Genomic DNA, 17862 nt, shown 5'->3' on the forward strand with positions numbered 1-17862 from the left:
TTGGTGGGGATGTAAAACGGTGCAGCTATGGAAAAAAATGTGGTCGTTCCTCAAAAATTAAACATAGCATTACCAAAGCATCCAGAATTTCCACTTCTGAGTATATATCCAAAAGAATCGAGAGCAAGATCTCGCAGAGATATTTGTGCACCTGTGTTTGTAGCAGCATTATTCATAATAGCCAAGAGGTGGCAGCAAGTCAAACGTCCATCAGTGAATGAATGGATAAATAAAATGTAGTATATTCATACAATGGAATATTACTCAGCCTTAAAAAGGAAGGAAATTCTGACAAATGCTGTAACATGAATGAAACTTGAGGACGTTATGCTAAATAAAATAAACCAGTCATAAAAAGATAAATACTCTATGATTCCATGTGTGCGAGGTACCTAGAGTAGTAGAATTCATAGAAACAAAGTAGAATGGTAGTTGCCAGGGGTAGGGGAAGACATGCAGAGTTTTTGTTTAACAGATACAGAGTTTAAGTTTTGCAAGATGAAAAATTTCTGGAGATTGTTTTCACAACAATATAAATATGCTTATCACAACTATACACTTAAAAATGGTTAAGATGATAAATTTAATGTATATATATTTTCCCACAAAAACAAAAAAAAGTGTTCCATTCAAAAAAAGTTCTATAGTTACATCAGATTTGGAAAAGGTAGTTATACACATACCTTTTAAAGACTCACAGTATACAAGCCTCCTGAGAAGTGGTTGTTGGCTTTTTTTTTTTTTTCTTTGAGACAGAACCTCGTTCTGCTGCCCAGACTGAAGTACAGTGGCACGATCTCAGCTCACTTTAACCTCCACCTTCCGGGTTCAAGTGATTTCCAGCCATTTTTGTATTTTTAGTAGAGACAGGGTTTCACCATGTTGGCCAGGCTGGTCTTGAACTCCTGACCTCAAGTGATCTGCCCGCCTTGGCGTCCCAAAGTGCTAGTGCAAGAATTACAGGTGTGAGCCACCATGCCCGGCCCCCTGAGAAGTTTTGAGTAAAACAAAAAAAATCTGATATCCTCTGTATAAAATCATTTCCCAGAAAGAACTGACAATGGAGAACATAGTTTTGGATACAAGTGAGGAAAACCATCTCTAGAATCCCTTGTGGTTCTAAGTCCTATGGCTCTTTTCTGATTTGAAAAGAGAGTCAATCCTGGTCGATATTATTTCTGGCATGTCTTTGCTGTCTTTTCCTGAACTCAGGGATTCTCCCTGCCACAGATGTGTCTGGATGGTGACAGATGGGAATCTTCTCCAGTGACCAGAATCCATGCCTTACCTTGGGAGCCCAAGGTAAGCTGCATTTATTTCCTTGGGCGCTTTCTGAGTATTGGGTAGAAAGGGGCTTTTTGAAATATTTGAAGGTTACTTGGGTATAAACATTTTATGTGTGAATGGCTTTCAATTGCTCTCTTTGTTAATCACAACATATATGGTACTCAAAACCCAGGAAAATATACTCCTAAAGATGTTCAAATTCCCTTATTGTAACTCATCGAAATGTTTTATGGACTTGGAAATTTTTATAAGCGATTTAAAGAATACAATTATGTTTATAAAGAATTTGACTGCAGTAATTTGTAATCTGATATAGACCACATTCAGTCAAGTTGTACATAAACACTTAAGAGGTAATTAAGGTAGAAAGAAGATTTCTTTCTAAGGGTAATTACTTGGTAATTAGAGAGAGTCATTGCAGATTTTATTTTCAAAATACTTCAAGGAGAATGGAAAGTTCCAGAATAATGATTATGCATTAGTCAGAAAAAGATATTTGGACCGAAATAAATATTTGTATTACTTGATTCCTTGCCTTGAATTGGCCTAGTAGGAAACCAGGGAAATTATTTGACTGTCATAGGAACACCAACCTCCTTTTTTTTGCCCATCTCCCATCAGAGGGTCTAGAAAAGAGTTGCTGCGGATTCTGTTCTAGTTACTTGAGAAAACAGGAAAATGGCAAGGAGACATCAGTCATCAATCTGGTTGTTCCCTGTTTCCTTTCTTAGAAATTTTGCTGTGAGAATTTGGTGTTTAGGGCTATGGTGGCCACCTTTCAGCTAAAGTGAAAAGGCCAAGAACCTCACAGAGTGGTTGACCCAGAGTCCTGGAGGGATCAGCTCTAGAATCATCTGTGCCTAGACTTCTCACAATGTGTGATTACTAAATGCCTCTATTTTAATAAACTTAATTCAACAGATATTTATTGACATCTATTATCTGTTAGTCACTGTTCTAAGTACTTTACAAATATGAAAAAAAATCACTGAGTTCCATAGGGCTATCTTCTAGACGCTTTAGTCATATACCCTGTTACCTACAGCTTAGAGCATTCCCAAAAGTCCATGGTATAACCTAACCTATTATGGGTTTGATGGCATAGCATGCTGGAGCTGACTTCTAATAGCTTGCAAGAACTGATCGTTAAATTTTCCAGAATTTTTAGCCCTTGTTAAACACAGCAGGTTTATTAAATTGTCTAAACTTGTAATTAAATTGTATTAAAAATACAGTACTCAAAGCCTCAGTACTTTCTACTTATTTTAATATCATCTGACCTTTTGAATTACTTACATTTATTGCACTTATATCATCCAAATAGTATATCATGGGGCACTACTGGGCATCTCTTCCCAAATCAAGGACATCAGCTTGGTAGCTTAAAGTCAGCCATAGTGGGGATATTTGTGCCATGGAAATTGGCAACTGCTATAAATCGAAGCTTGATTTATTGTTCTGATGACTCTTAATGTTATCCATATTAAATTTAAAGATTGTCATGTCTGTAGCCATTACATTGTCAATAGCACAAAAATTTGAGGAAATATTCTTTTAGCATTAGAAAACTGTTACCTGAATCAGCAAAGAAGTTGCTCCAATCATTGATGATCAGGTAGTGTTTCTACGTATATCTTCATTATTTCACCTTCACCATACTTATTAATGCAAGCAAAAATGTCAACATTCTAATCAAAACTGCACTCATATATCAGCTGCAAACATAGGTTGGCTATGAAAACAAGAGCTTGGCAAAAATCAAGAAAAGCATTGAGAATCAATGAGAATCAATGGGCTATATGGAATTTACAATGAATTGTAGACTTTATTATCATTTGTAAATTGTATGATACACATTATGTATATCAGTAAAATCAGTAATCACCTCATGTATGTATATATTTCCATGCATTATTTGGAGAGCCAGTTGTTGAACATTTACTAGCACACCACTGGTTGGGTGGGATCAAAGGGGAAACAGGATAAGAAAGTGAGTAACAGCAATGGACATTGCCTGACTGTTCAACCCAAACCATTTTGCAGGATTGCTCTGGAATCCCTGTTCTTAGAGGCCCACACATGTTGCCAGGCTTTGAATCTAGCACTGGAAACAAGTGTCCAAGCTGGTCAGAGACATTCATCTAATCCCACTAGTTACTGAGCCCACCCAAATAGTCACCTACCAGAAGAACTATATAAAGTACACACCAGATGACTTTGATACAGTGCATGTGATTTGGGCTATAAAACTGTCCACAGAGCCTTTGACCCCAATCATTCAGGCCCTCGAAGTGTAACGTGTCTTCATGACACCCACCACCATGTACTGTATTAGGCCATACCTGTGGAGCAATGAGTATGTTGAGAACAAAAAGTAAAACACACACAAAAAAACACATATAGATATAAAAAGGTGTTCTGGGACAACCTTAGTCAGATTGCCCCTTATGAAACAAGGACTTCACTGACAGTTTCTATGCATGGGATTATTTTTCCTTCCTGGGGAAAAAGATGGAATATATGAATCCTGATTATTAAACAAGTTACCACATGGCTGTGTATGTCCTTCCTCAAAAAACAAATATCTCAGCATGAGAAGAATGCGTAATGTTTGCAAAATTCCTTAGAATTTTTAGAATTTCTTCTTTGTTTAACAGTGTTGATGACTGATGGTTGATGTAGCCACTGGAGAAAGACTGCCCATTAGGCTTTATTAAATAGATATGATTGGATTCATCATGGCACAGGCTTCTACTGTGGGAGAAACAGAGAGACACCTTCCCTTTGGGAAGCAGCTGTCTGATAGAGTCTGTGGAGTTGGGCTGTGACTTACTGCAGAAGCTTCTTGTCCATTACAAGAAAAGCCCAGGTCTATCTGAATATCTACACAAAGAGAAATTTATCTCAGAGGCAGAGGACTGAAACCAGTGTGTATAATTTGTGAATCACTTGTTTTGCATTAAGAATTAACAAAAGAGGAGAACAACTGTTGACCGTTTTCCATTTCTTGGTGTATTGAAACTTACTTCTCATTTCCCTTTGCCTACCCGCCCCCAATCCTCTTGCTTTTTTTCTTTTGAATCCCATGTCTTTATTACAGTTACCATGAACAGAACATAACTGCCTGGGCTTGAGTTCTTGTCTATTAACAAAAAAATCTATTTAATTCGTATGTAAGGTCTAACATGGAGTGGGGAAAGGCAGAAACATCTTTTATGGAGACAGATAGTGAATGATACCTTCCGAATGGTAAACATGTACTTGTTGGAGATGAGCTCAGCTCACTCAGAGATCTCATGGGAATGAATGCTTCTCCTGATTTAAGAGCATGCATATCTTATTTCCACATTGAGGGAGAAAAGAATCATAGTATAGTGGAAAGAAGAATTGGACAGATTCGGGACCCCACATTTTCCTTCTGCTGCTTGCTGCATCAGCTTGGGCAAGCTACTTGACCCCTGTGAGCCCTGTTGCCCCATCTGTGGAATGGGGATTATTATACTTACCACATGGGATATTGTGTTTATTACATGAGAAAATGTTTTTTATGGCCTGAGGCATACTGCAACTCAAAGCTGAGTAAGCAATGACAGCTGGTGTGGTGGCTCATGCCTGTAATCCCAGCACTTTGGGAGATCAAGGTGGGTGGATCACAAGGTCAAGAGATCGAAACCTTCCTGGCCGACATGGTGAAACCTCGTCTCTACAAAAAATACAAAAATTAGCTGGGTGTGGTGGCATGTGACCTGTATTCGCAGCTACTCGGGAGGCTGAGGTAGGAGAATCGCTTGAATCCGGGAGGCAGAGGTTACAGTGAGCTGAGATTGTGCCACTACAGTCCAGTCTGGCAACGGAGTGACTCCGTCTCAAAAAAAAAAAAAAGAAATGACACCTTCAAGAAATTTACAGTCTAGCAGACATTTGAAAACTAACTTTGGCTTAATCATAATATAGTGATTTCTTGTTTACCTCTGATGACTATTACTGCACTACCTATTGGAAGATAGATAGTACGGTTGGGTTTCTGTGGGGAAAAAATGGAGATATTTCCTTTGGGACAGTGACTGTGCTTAGAACTGATTACATGAAACATTCCAAGACTAAAATCCCAGTAACCTTTACCTCTCTTATTCTACTGACACCTTCACCACCCCCAAAATGAATAATAAAACACACATTCAACATCAAAACTTATGATTACAACCCAATTTTTAAAATGGGCAAAGCTGGCGTGGTGGCTCATGCCTGTAATCCCAGCACTTTAAGAGGCTGAGGCAGGCAGAATTGCTTGAGCTGAGGAGTTTGAGAACAGCCTGGGCAACGTGGCAAAATCCCATCTCTACAAAAAATACAAAAATTAGCTGGGTGTGTTGCTGTGTGCCTGTAGTCCCAGCTACTCAGGGGGCTGAGGTGGGAGGATCACTTGAGTTGTGAGGTCAAAGCTGCAGTGAGCTGAAATCATGCCACTATACTCTGAGCTTGAGCAACAGAGTGAGACTTTGTCTCAAAAAAGAGGGGGTGAGAGGCAAAAAGAACTTGAACTGACCTTTGTTATGGGCTGAATGTTTCCCCCAAAATTTGTATGTTGAAGTCCTAGCCCCCTGTACTCAGAATGTGACTGTATTTGGATACACGGTCTCTGAAGAGGTAATTAAGGTTAAATGAGACCACTGGGGTGAGCCCTAGTCCTCATAAGAAAAGGAGATTAGAGCATAAACACAGAAGAAAGCACATAAACAATCACAGAAGAGAGACTATATGAAGACACAGGAGAAGACTGCCATTTATAAGCCAAGGGAGAGGCCTCAGCAGAAATTAGTCCTGCTGACACCTTGGTCTGGGGCTTTTAGCCTCCAGAACTGAGAGAAAATAAACTTCTGTGTTTAACCCAGCTTGTGGCACTTTGTTATGGCAGCCCTAGCAAACTAATACAACTTTCCCCCAAGAAGGCATACAGATGGCCAATGAGCACATGAAAAGATGGTCAACATCATTAGTCATCAGGGAAGTGCAAATCAAAATCACAAGGAGATACCACTTCATACTTGCTAGAGTGGCTATAAACACACACACACACAAAACAAAAAATGGAAAATATAAGAGGTATTGGTGAGGATGTAGAGAAATTGGAACCCTCCTACAAATGGTACATTTTGAATGTACCATTTGAATGGTACTATGGAAAATGGTTTGACAGTTCCTCAAAAGCCAAACATAGAATTGGCATATGATCTAGCAATTCCACTCCTGTGTATATATCCAAAAGAACTAAACAGAGGACCTCAAGCAGATGCTTATAGGCCAATTGATATGATTTGACTGTGTCCCCACCCAAATCTCAAATTGTAGCTCCCATAATTCCCGTGTGTCATGGGAGGGACCTGGTGGAAGGTAATTAAATCATGGCGTGGGTCTTTCCTGTGCTGTTCTTGTGATAGTGAATAAGCCACATGAGATCCAATGGTTTAATAAATGGGAGTTCCCCTGCACAAGCTCTCTTTCCTGCTGCCATGTAAGACCTGACTTTGCTTCTCCTTTGCTTTCCACCATGATTGCGAGGCCTCCCCAGCCATGTGGAACTGTGAGTTCAATAAACCTCTTTCCTTTATAAATTACCCAGTCTTGGGTATGTCTTTATTAGCAGTGTGAGAGCAGACTAATATACCAATGTTTATAGCATTATTCACAATAGCTAAGAGGTAGAAACAACTCCAGTGTCCATCAATGGATGGAATGGATAAAATGTGGAATATGTATACAGTGGAATATTATTCAGCCATAAAAAGGAATGAAATTCTAATATGTGCTACAACATGGATGAACTTTGAAGATTTTATGCTAAGTGAAATAAACCACACAAAAGACAACTATATATTTCCCTGATATGAAATATCTAGAACGGACACATTCATAGAGGCAAGGTAGATTAGACGTCACCAGAGGCTGGGAGGAGGAGACAATGGACAGTTATTGTTTAATGAGTAGGGAGTTTGTTTGGTGTGATTAAAACGTTCTGGAGATGGATAGTGGTGATGGCTGCACAACAGTGTGACTGTATGTAATGCACAGAACTGTATACTTAAACATGGTGAAAATGGTACATTTTGTTATGTATATTTCACCATAATTTTGCAAATAATGTAATAGATGCCAAACCATTTAATTAATGGGTGAATTGTATGGTAGGTGAATCATATCTCAATATTGCTGTTGGAAAAAAACTCTGCAATAGATTGTAGTGGGTGAGAAAAGGCAGGTGATGGAGACCAAAAGGCTAAATTGAGGAGACTGCCAGAATTTTCCCCACTTTTCCTTGTTCTAACCCACTGACGAGGCCCTATTACCAGATGAGCTGAAACCATTAAATGGGCTTGGCTTCTCTAGTAGCTCGTCTTTCCTGAGTCTGAGCAATTTTGAGTATAGAAGGTGGTGCGTCCATGACGCCTCCAGGCTGACCGTCCTGTGCCCAGCCAGAACTCAGCTATCTGTTCTCAGCTTGAGCTCATCTCTTGTGTCTCAGTCAGCCTCCCCTATGGTCAGGTGGCACCTGCTTTCTGTCACCGCCTGCACTCCTTCTAGACTCTATAAATATGGACAGAACATAAATAAAAAGCCCAGCTTTGGGGCCTCTGAGCAGGATTGTTATTTACTGTTATGTAGTGTGATTCTGCACCCCCAGGGCTGTAGGCTAGTATTTGCTTTGGGGGCCTGATTGAAAGGTAGTTCTTCATGATCATAAAAAGTCAAAATCATCTCCTGTGATCCAGCCTGCTGCTACCAGCTGCAATCTATGCTTTTACATTATGCATGATTCTCAATGCTTATGGTGCAGGAAAAAGATACACAATTCCATTAGCGATTCCCAGTGTTATGCTAACCACTTCCAGGCTACTGCTGCTAATTAATGTTAATATAGAACTGCTTACATATTTATGTCTTAGTCCATGCATCATGAAGATGGCATGGGGCTCCTCTTGTTTAGGACTGATTAAGCCAATCTAAAACTGATTGAGAGCCACAAGTGATGGCTTTGGAGTGGATGGCTTTGGCAATGCAGCCTCACATTATTAAATGGAGGGGACCTGCGGAGGTGCCTGCTCTGCCGGGGCTGCTGCGCACACACGCGTGCCCAGGCGAGTTTGGACTCTCCCTCTTCCTTGCCCTTCCTGCTGTATTTATAGTGTTTGATAATCAGCATGGGTCTGGTACCTGCACTGATTTGTCCTGTAGACTGTGACCCTTTTAGCGTACAAGCTCCACCATGAACCACAGAGCTGGCTGCAGCAAACGGCCTCTCTCATCCTTTTCTCTTTCTAGGCTCCTTGCCTCTTTGTCTCTCCTCTGCTTTTCTTTATGCTTTCTTCTCTCTGTCCACCTAAATGTACTTATTTTTCAGAGCCTAAATAGTATATGTGGGGGGACAGGGAGAGAGAGAGATGGAAGGAGGAAAAGTCAGTATAAGGTAGGTATGGTTACAGGACGGGCCACTGTTGTTGGCAAGGGGACTCCATCCTGCCCAACCCTTCTGTCCACCTGAAAGTGGTCTTGCAGAGGCGTCTCTCCTCTGTTGCTCCAGGAGCTGTGGGTTCTCCCAGAACTCTCAAGCAACACGTGGAGATATATGGAGTGGGCTCTTTCCCAGGTCTCCCACTGTAGGATCAGAGTGGTGTGGGTGAAGGCAGATATACTGGGCAGAGCCTAGAGCAAGAGAAAGCGACACACAACTGCTGTCCACAGCTGCAGCAGGGGCCACCAGAGGTGCCTGCTAAGCCAGCTGACACACTATCTGGAAGAAGGCTCCATCACAGCCCTCCCATGGAGGCCACACTGCCCCAGGACATCTGGGTGGCTACAGGTGGACTTGTGCCTGCTCTCCTTTCATACCTTTTTGCATTTCCACCATCAATCTCCCCAGGAGGTTCTCCCATTCAGTGCTGAATGCCAGTTCCAACATGGCTCTTCATTTATTCACTCCAGCATTCATTGAGTGCATACAGTGGACCAGGCTCCTTGCAGGTTCTGGAGATAAAAAGAAAAAAGTGCCTGTAATCCCAGCACTTTGGGAGGCTGAGGCGGGTGGATCACAAGGTCAGGAGATCGAGACCATCATGGCTAACATGGGGAAACCCCGTCTCTACTAAAAAATACAAAAAAATTTAGCCAGACATGGTGGCAGGTGCCTGTAGTCCCAGCTACTTGGGAGGCTGAGGCAGGAGAATGACGTGAACCCAGGAGGTGGAGCTTGCAGTGAGTCCGGGTCACACCACAGCACTGCAGCCTGGGTGACAGAGCGAGACTCCATCTCAAAAAAAAAAAAAAAAACAAAAAAAGTGAACAGTCTGTGTCTATCTTAGAACCAAGGCATGAAGACACAGTCCTTGAAACAGACCACAAGAGGAGGCAGGGACTGTAAGGTAACGATGACTTGTGGGGCTCACTCATTCCCCTACTTCACAAATAGTTACCAAGCACTCACTCTGGGCCAGGTCATCTTTCAGACCCTAGGGATTCAGTGCTGCCCAGAACCCACACAGTGCTTGCCTCTCTGGGCTTGGAATAGGGGATGCCAATGGTCAGGATCACAAGTGCAACAGTAATTTATAGCAGAGGAAGATCACGTAGGCTGGAATGATTCAGATAATTTCCTCCTTCTGCCTCTCACTCTCCCTGGTCCCTCATATATACTCTTTAGGCTTTGGAAAATAAGTATATTTATGTAGACAGAAAAGAGCAGCATTCCAAGCATCAAGAAGAGCAGAGGAGGAGGCAAAGCGGGAAGAGGCCTAGGAAGACAAAACGAAGTGAGAGGGTCTTGTCTGCTGAGGCTGGACAAAGCTAACCAGGGCGGCAAGGGCAGAGGTGAACTCCCCTCCCTCCTCACCCCTTCTTGGCTTCTGATACTGGGTGTGTAGGGCTTATATGTCACTTACCCATGCCTGCGAAAATGGTTCAACATTCTTCCCAAAGTCTCATCTCTACCCAGGAGCCTGGAGAGGTTGTAGAGACGCACTATGCTTTGTTCAGGGGAGAAAATCCATGAGTCCCGGGAAGCCAGAGATAAACCTGAGTCCTGAACTGAATAAGGAAAGGATTTTGACTCATGGTAAGAACATGGCATGTCCGACTTCAAAGAAAAAGGACAACCTCTACTTTGATCTCCCTGACACCTAGATTTCACAGGGCGGCGACACGCCAGGCACTTTTTTGGTTGGGCATTTTGCATGGGCGATAGTATATTCTTAGTTGGAATGGGATAAGGAGCCCTGAATGCTTTTTAAAATTCCATGCTAAAACTGTGAATTGGGCCTAATGGAAGCCCCTAGAATGTTACTCTCAAGGATCAGAGTTTTATGTCAGCTGGGACTTTGCAGAGAGTCTTCTGTGCAAGCCCCTCACTGTCAGATGAGGAGACTGAGGCCAAGGGAAGGGAAATGACTTGCCCAGTTTTCCAAGGCTGGTAAGCAGTAGGTCAGCAGTAGCAGAGCCTGGAGCCCCATGATGAGGCCATGACCAAACACAGCCAAGTGAGCAAGACCAGGTACTGGGCAGGACAGCCTACTCCACGGGAAGCCTGCGCTACTCATATGGGAAGGAAGGCAGGAATTAGAGTTCTCCAACCCAGGGCCATTAGGCGCAAGCTCTGGATTATGTGCCATTAGGCACAGCAGAATCACCTGGGAGAGTTGTTAACACAAATGACAGATGCCCAAACCCCACCTACAGACTGGGTGTCCCCCTCCCCCTTTATATGTTGAAGCCCTAATCCCCCTGTGTTTGGAGATAGGGCCTATAGGGAGGTGTGATATTGTGATGGAATAAGCATCTTTTACAGAAGTATAAATTAGACTAAGTTGTTTCCTAAGCCTTTTTATGTGTGTTGCTCAGAATAGTGTTGGGGACTGGAGAGATTGGGGTGGGAGCCCAGGAGAGGCAGCGTCCCTCCTAGGTCATGTCAGATGAGACATAGTCAAATGTGTGGGGTCTCGGTAGCACACTGCCGGTATTCCACAAGTATGAAAGTGAGAAAACCACCCAAATATGAGACAAAGATTCTCTCCTACCCCCGTGATGAATATGAAAATCATCTTATTTAACACAAATACTATCTTGTTCCCCACTTACCTCCAGTCTCCTGCCAGCAGACATCTGCACGCAGGCAACCACAACCACATACACATACACACATAAGCACACACACAAATATACGCACGCTGTTGCACTCAGCTGCTGCAGTCAGCCATCACAGTGGCTGGATTAGACAGCAATGTGTTCCTCATTCCCTGCCTCAGGCTTTTTGCTTTAACCAGAGGTCTAAAAAAGTTTTTTTTTGTTTTGTTTTGCTTTAAAAACAAAAAGGAAATTTCTTTCTTCTGCTAGCTTTTCAGCTATGAATCGAAATGTCCCTCCTGGGTTTTGAGGTGGAGGAACAAGTCTGTAGCTTTCTGTGAGCCTCTTGGCTGCTACCAGGTGGAACTTGGACAAAATAAATGACAGTAATCATATTTTCTTGTTCTCCTTTAGTTCCCCATAATCTGGCATGTCCCCAACCCCTCACACATGGAAAGAGATTTGTCTCTTGCCTGGGTGAAGGTCTAGAATGGTGAGTGCTCCGTCTGGGCTGCCTGACTGCCGTCCCTGTGTTCTCCTGTCCCTCCCTGGCAGTTCATCCATCACCATCCAACCTCCCTGTACCCCCACCCCTCCGCGCCCCCCTCCTGCTCCATGGGGCCTGGGGGCTTTGAGGAGAGAAGGACTTTGATGAACTTCTGAAACATGCAGAGCACGTTAGGGTTCTGCCAGAGCTTCCTCTGGAGCCTGAAAGCTTGGAACTTCTCTAAGACAATGGACAAGGGCTGGGCTAAGCTCAGGGAAACATCGTTTCTCATTTTCCTTGGCGGGGCTCTCCATCAGTGCTGTGCCCTGTGTCTGCAGGCTGGGTGTTCATCTCTCAGCTGCCTCTGCTGGTGGTCTCAAGCTCAAGAGGTCTCCAAACCTTTCACGGGGGCCAGGGGGGCATTGAGATCTGCTGCCCACTGCTACTCTGGGTTGCCAGGGCATCTGGGCTGTTCCTGTGATTGGACGGCAGCTGTTTAGAAAGCCAGGCAAAGCCATGTAAGGTGAGAATACATGTGTTCCTCTGCCCTGGACACTTAAGGAACCCCAAAGGTTGTCTGGCTTCTTCATTTAGCAGGATGACATGCCCCGAAGTGAAAGATGCGAGTGTGCAGAATCCCATCATCCAAAACCCTGCCGCGAGGGCAGCAATAGCAAAGACCCCTCCACAGACACATCCCTGTGCCAGCCGGTGCTGGGGCAAACGGCAAGTCCCCAAAGCTAGGGGCATGGGGGACGTGCATTACACGGAGAAGCAGAAGCTGCTGGCGCATCCGTGACAGCTGCTGGCTGTTTTCCAGTACTGCAGGGCTCCCTGCAGCAGCAGACGAGACTGTAATGCAGAATTTGGAGTTGATTGGTACGGACAGAAAATAGCCTTTACATTGCCAATATACTTGAAGCTCTTTACATTGCTCAATATACTTGTGTTAATTCACACGTTGCTAACTGGATGGCATCGATAGGGTCCAAATGTAGTAGAGAATTGAGGAAATTACCTACATTAGTTAACTCACAGAAAACACTTTTGCTCAACCAGCAGGATATTTCTTTCTGGTTGAAATAATTGGGAACCTTGAATTATATGGTGCTGTGAACTAAACTATGTCCTCCCGGAATTCATATGTTGAAGCCTTAACCCCCAGTGTGACTGTATTTTTTTTTGTTTTTTTGAGACAGAGTCTCACTTGATCACCCAGGTTGGAGTGCAGTGGCATGATCATGGCTCAGTGTAGTCTTGACCTCTTGGGCTCAAGTGATCCTCTTCCTTCAGCCTCCCAAGTAGCTGGGACTGCAGGTGTGCACCACCACACCCGGCTAATATTTGCATTTTTTTGAAGAGATGAGGTCTCACTATGTTGTCCCGGATGGTCTCAAACTCTTGGGCTCAAGTGATCCTCCAGCCTCGACCTCCCAAAGTGCTGGGATTATAGGTGTAAGCCACCACACCCACAACGTATTAGAAATAAGGAAGGAATTAAGGGTAAATGAGGTCATTTAGGGTGGAGCCCCAATCCAGTAGGATTTGTGTCTTTATAAGGAGAGATACCAGAGAGCTCATGTACTCTCTCTGTGCCAAATGAGGACCTAGGGAAGGAAGCCATCTGCAAGCCAGGAAGAGAGCCCTCACCAGAAACTGAGTCAGCTGGCACCTTGGTCTTGGGCTTCCCCAACTCCAAAACAAAGAGAAATAAATTTCTGTTGTTTAAGTTACCCAGTCTATGGCATTTTGTTATGGCAGCCTGAACTGACTAAGATACATGACTATTTAACTCACTTTAGTTGGCATTTGGAGACAGGGCCCATATTTCCAGAAGAAAACAATTTCCAGAGGCATTTCCCCAGAAAGATATGGCTTTAGCTTGTCTCTTACTTTATCCACTTTATTTCTACTATATCATGCGCTAGAAATCTGGAAGCATGCAAGGTGTTTATATTCTATCAAAAACTAAATTGTGTTTCACATGTGTTCTCGCAGCATTTGGGAACTGGGAAAGTGGGATTTGTAAAGCCTTGTTGCTGGCCTCTGGTATTGGATAGTAGACAATGTAAATATCATCTTTAGAAGATAAAACATTTTATCTAAACAGCCTTATGATCCTGTCATTGGGTTGGAAACAGTTGCTTTCAATCTGCAGTCATACACAAGAGGGAGAGAGGCAGAATTCTTGTCTGATTCCCCCAATTCCCCAGGGATGAGAGCAGCAATCACAGATTTTCTCTCCATCACTCTGGCAGCCCTTAGGATGTCCCTAGACCACCACGCAGGTCCTCAAGCTGCCTGCCTTTTGTGTGCATGTGTTTCACAATTTCACATCTGCTGTTAGAACCAGAAATAGGTTTTTGTGGCTAGCTTGAACGTAAGCGCTTCTGGGAGTGTGGCAGCAGGACAGTTTTCTCTGTGTTGATGTGCCAGGAACATCGTAAACCCTCAATAGATGTGTTGCATTGGCTTGAACACAAATATACACCCTGGGTGCTTACAATTGCACAAAACATTTGTTTTCCAAGGATGTTCTCATTTACAGCACCTTTGACTGGTATGATTTGGGCCTGTTCTTTTGAGAATGAAAGAACTCATCTAACGGAACTGACGGATTTTATTGTGAAAACCACTAACCATGGGAATTAATGGAAAAGGGGAAAATTCCCTTTACACAGGGAGACAGCTACTGTGCTCATCTCTCAAAAGGACAAAGGATGAGTTTAATAATTACAGAGCAGCTCGCTTTACCTGATGTAGCTGGAAGTGACTAGAATGCCTCCCCCCAAAATCAATTTGTAATCACCCAGAAAAGCAAAAGAGGGTGCAGAACAATTAGAGCTGGCTTTGTGTGAAGTAGCACACATCAGAGCAGATGAATTTATTTCTGTGAGGGAAAGAGGGACTGAGTAACACAAGGCATGTATAAAGGATATTTAGGCTTCTGGAACCTTTCTACGTGATGTTTTCATCATCAGGCTGGGAAGCTTTGGGCTGAGCCATGCTACTGTTAGGTACAGAGTGAATTTTTGATTATTCTGCACCAGGCTGGGCATGGTGGCTCACGCCTGTAATCCTAGCACTTTGGGAGGCTGAGGCGGGCGGATCACCTGAGGTCAGGAGTTCCAGACCACCCTGGCCAACACGGTGAAATGCCGTCTCTATTAAAAATACAAAAATTAGCTGGGCGTGGTGGCACGCACCTGTAATCCCAGCTACTCAGTAGGCTGAGGCAGGATAATTTCTTGAACCCAGGAGGTGGAGGTTGCAGTGAGCCGCGATCATGCCACTGCATTCCAGCTTGAGTGACAGAACAAAACTCAGACTCAAAAACCAAACCAAAACCAACAAACAAAAACGACAACAATAATTCTGCACCAGTCTGGAGAGGAATACATTTGAATATTTGATTCAGACCTCACAGAGGTCTGCCCTACCCAGGTTAATTTTGCATTGCATCACAATCATTCCTGGAAGACAAGTTGACAACTCTCCTTTCAAGACACACATGGTCTCCTCACTGCGGTGCTGGGTTACTCTTGGAATCAGCAAATCAGTGGTCCTGGCAGCCAGGACTTCTACCCCCGTCTCTAAAAACAGTGGAAAGGGGCAGGTAACCAGATTTTTCTCTTTGCAGGCATAGGGGTGACTCTTGGAATTTGTATTCCTGGAAACAGACATATTGTCTGATGGCAACCCTCCTTCATCAATCCCATTTAAAACTTGTGGAAAAATCCCAAATTTTGTCTTCAGATCTTTGTGACATAGTTTGGAAATTTGCAAGTTACTAGAACCATCCAGGACACTTTAGAAAGCCTTCAAGCCACATGAAATGTGCAGAATATGAACTCCAGGATAGCAGCTCACATTTAGAAAACTGAGCCAGGGTGACACACAGACATTCAGTTTTTATTGCTACAAAAAGCACATTGGGAGATGAAGGAAATCCTAGTTCTGTGTATATATATATAAATATATACACAAATATATAATATATATATTATATAATCATCACAATAGTTATATGATTATATGTTATGTATATGCACACATACGGAATTATATATAGTCATATAACAACATGTATATATGATCATATATAATATATATTATATATTACATGTATAATATGCACATATATAACAGATTGTATATATAATAAATCATATATATATAAAATCTTTTTTAGGAATAATTCCAAATGGGTTATGAAGAAAATGTATTCATTGAATTTGATGTTTTCCAAAAACTCTTAAGATATGTTCACCCAATAAACAATAATAAAACATCAGCAGAACTATCATATACTGAGCAAAAAATCAGGCTGATACCGCAAGCAACATGCAACATAAAAAAGATACAATATAAAGGAAGACAATCTGTTGAGTTGTAAAAACCATCCGAATATGGCCAGGCATGGTGGCTCATGCCTGTAATCCCAGCACTTTGGGAGGCCAAGGCGGGTGGATCACCTGAGGTCAAGAGCTTGAGACCAGCCTGACCAATATGGTGAAACCCTGTCTCTATTGAAAATGCAAAAATCAGCTGGGCCTGGTGTCGTGCGCCCATAGTCCCAGCTACTCAGGAGGCTGAGGCAGGAGAATTGCTTGAATCTGGGAGGCGGAAGTTGCAGTAAGCTGAGATTGCGCCACTGTATTCCATCCTGGGCAGCAGAGCGAGACTGTCTCAACAAACAAACAAAAAAACTCTTCTGAATGAATGAACTCTTTGCCACCAGTACAGAACTAATTAGCTATCAAATCTAAACCACACCAAGGTAAGTTTGTCTGATGTAGGCCAGGAGTCAATATTGGGAGGAAAATAAGTTCCTCAGTGCAAGAGAGCTGAATAGTGTTTTGGAGCATTTCCCTGGATGCTATAGCAGTATTAGAAAATCTTTCTGGCAAGGGAAGGAAATAAATACAAATGGAATGCTACATTTAAAAATCAGCAAACGTCTCAGGAATAAGTGTATCAGTAAAGTAGGAAGAGGATGACTTTAAAACATTAAAACAAATTTTTGGGCTCAACAAACATTCAAAATGGATTTATTTAAAGGTTTTGCTATAGCTATGTCTAGGCATTTAGGCTTATGGGAAGTAAAATTAAAAGAGGACTCTTTTTTTCCCCAAGGAGCATTTCTTTAAAACCAAGCACATTGCTAAATAGCAACATTATACTTGGTAAACAATAATTGGCAATAAAATAAGTTTAATATTCTGCTCAAACCAGTCCTTGATATTGTTTAATAACCAGGATACAAACTGATTTTATTGTAAGTCCAAGATCAAGCCTAGATCAATTTTATCAAAATGTCCCTGGTTAGATATCTAGTTTCATTTAACATTTTGAAAGCTCCTTTGACAGCTGGTCAGGTCTCTCACACAGACCAGTTCCTTGTGTTATGCACGTGGCTTGAACAGATCATGTCCTGTTAGGAGGAGATCGAAGAGCATTTGGCAAATCCTGTGATTCTCAAAAAGCAGCAGCACTGCCTCTCTCAACTCATCTACCAGAAGCAATTTCTGCAGCTCACCTGCTACCTCCTTAATTCTTTCACGATTATTGCTATCTACCACAAATATAAGATATTGGGTATTTGGGAAGTAATACTTCCGGAGAGGCCTAATTCTATCTTGACCACCAGCATCCCATACTGTGAAACGAATGTTTTTATAGTCTACCGCTTCCACATTGCAGCCAACGGTAGGAATGGTGGTGACTATCTCCCCTAACTTCAGTTCATACGGAATGGTCGTCTTGCCAGCGGCATCCAATCCAACCATCAGAATGTGCATCTGCTTCTTGTCAAAGAGGTGGGAGAAGAAAGAGGAGATGGTGAGGCCCGTGGCGGTAGTGGCACTGGCATGGCAGAAGCAGAAGGGGCTCGGAGTGTCTCTGTGATTTCTCCTTTCATACCCCCAGGAGAACTGAATGAGAGGGAAGAGAAAGCTCATTCTTTAAACTTCAGTCCTCTC

The 17862-nt window shown here is 42.7% G+C and overlaps 1 long non-coding RNA gene and 1 pseudogene across 1 annotated transcript in view; one reads left to right on the plus strand and one right to left on the minus strand.

Moving 5' to 3' along the window:
• Positions 1–17862, plus strand: part of NALCN-AS1 (NALCN antisense RNA 1) — a 350962-nt gene that overhangs the window by 31002 nt on the left and 302098 nt on the right. Inside the window, exon 2 of the long non-coding RNA NR_047687.1 lies at positions 1231–1302. This is a non-coding gene — a long non-coding RNA (NALCN antisense RNA 1). The remainder of the gene's footprint in view (positions 1–1230; positions 1303–17862) is intronic.
• ARF4P3 (ARF GTPase 4 pseudogene 3) lies at positions 16066–17836 on the minus strand (annotated as a pseudogene).

This window comes from Homo sapiens, chromosome 13 (genome assembly GCF_000001405.40).
Source record: "Homo sapiens chromosome 13, GRCh38.p14 Primary Assembly".
In the NCBI taxonomy this organism is placed as follows: Eukaryota; Metazoa; Chordata; class Mammalia; order Primates; family Hominidae; genus Homo; species Homo sapiens.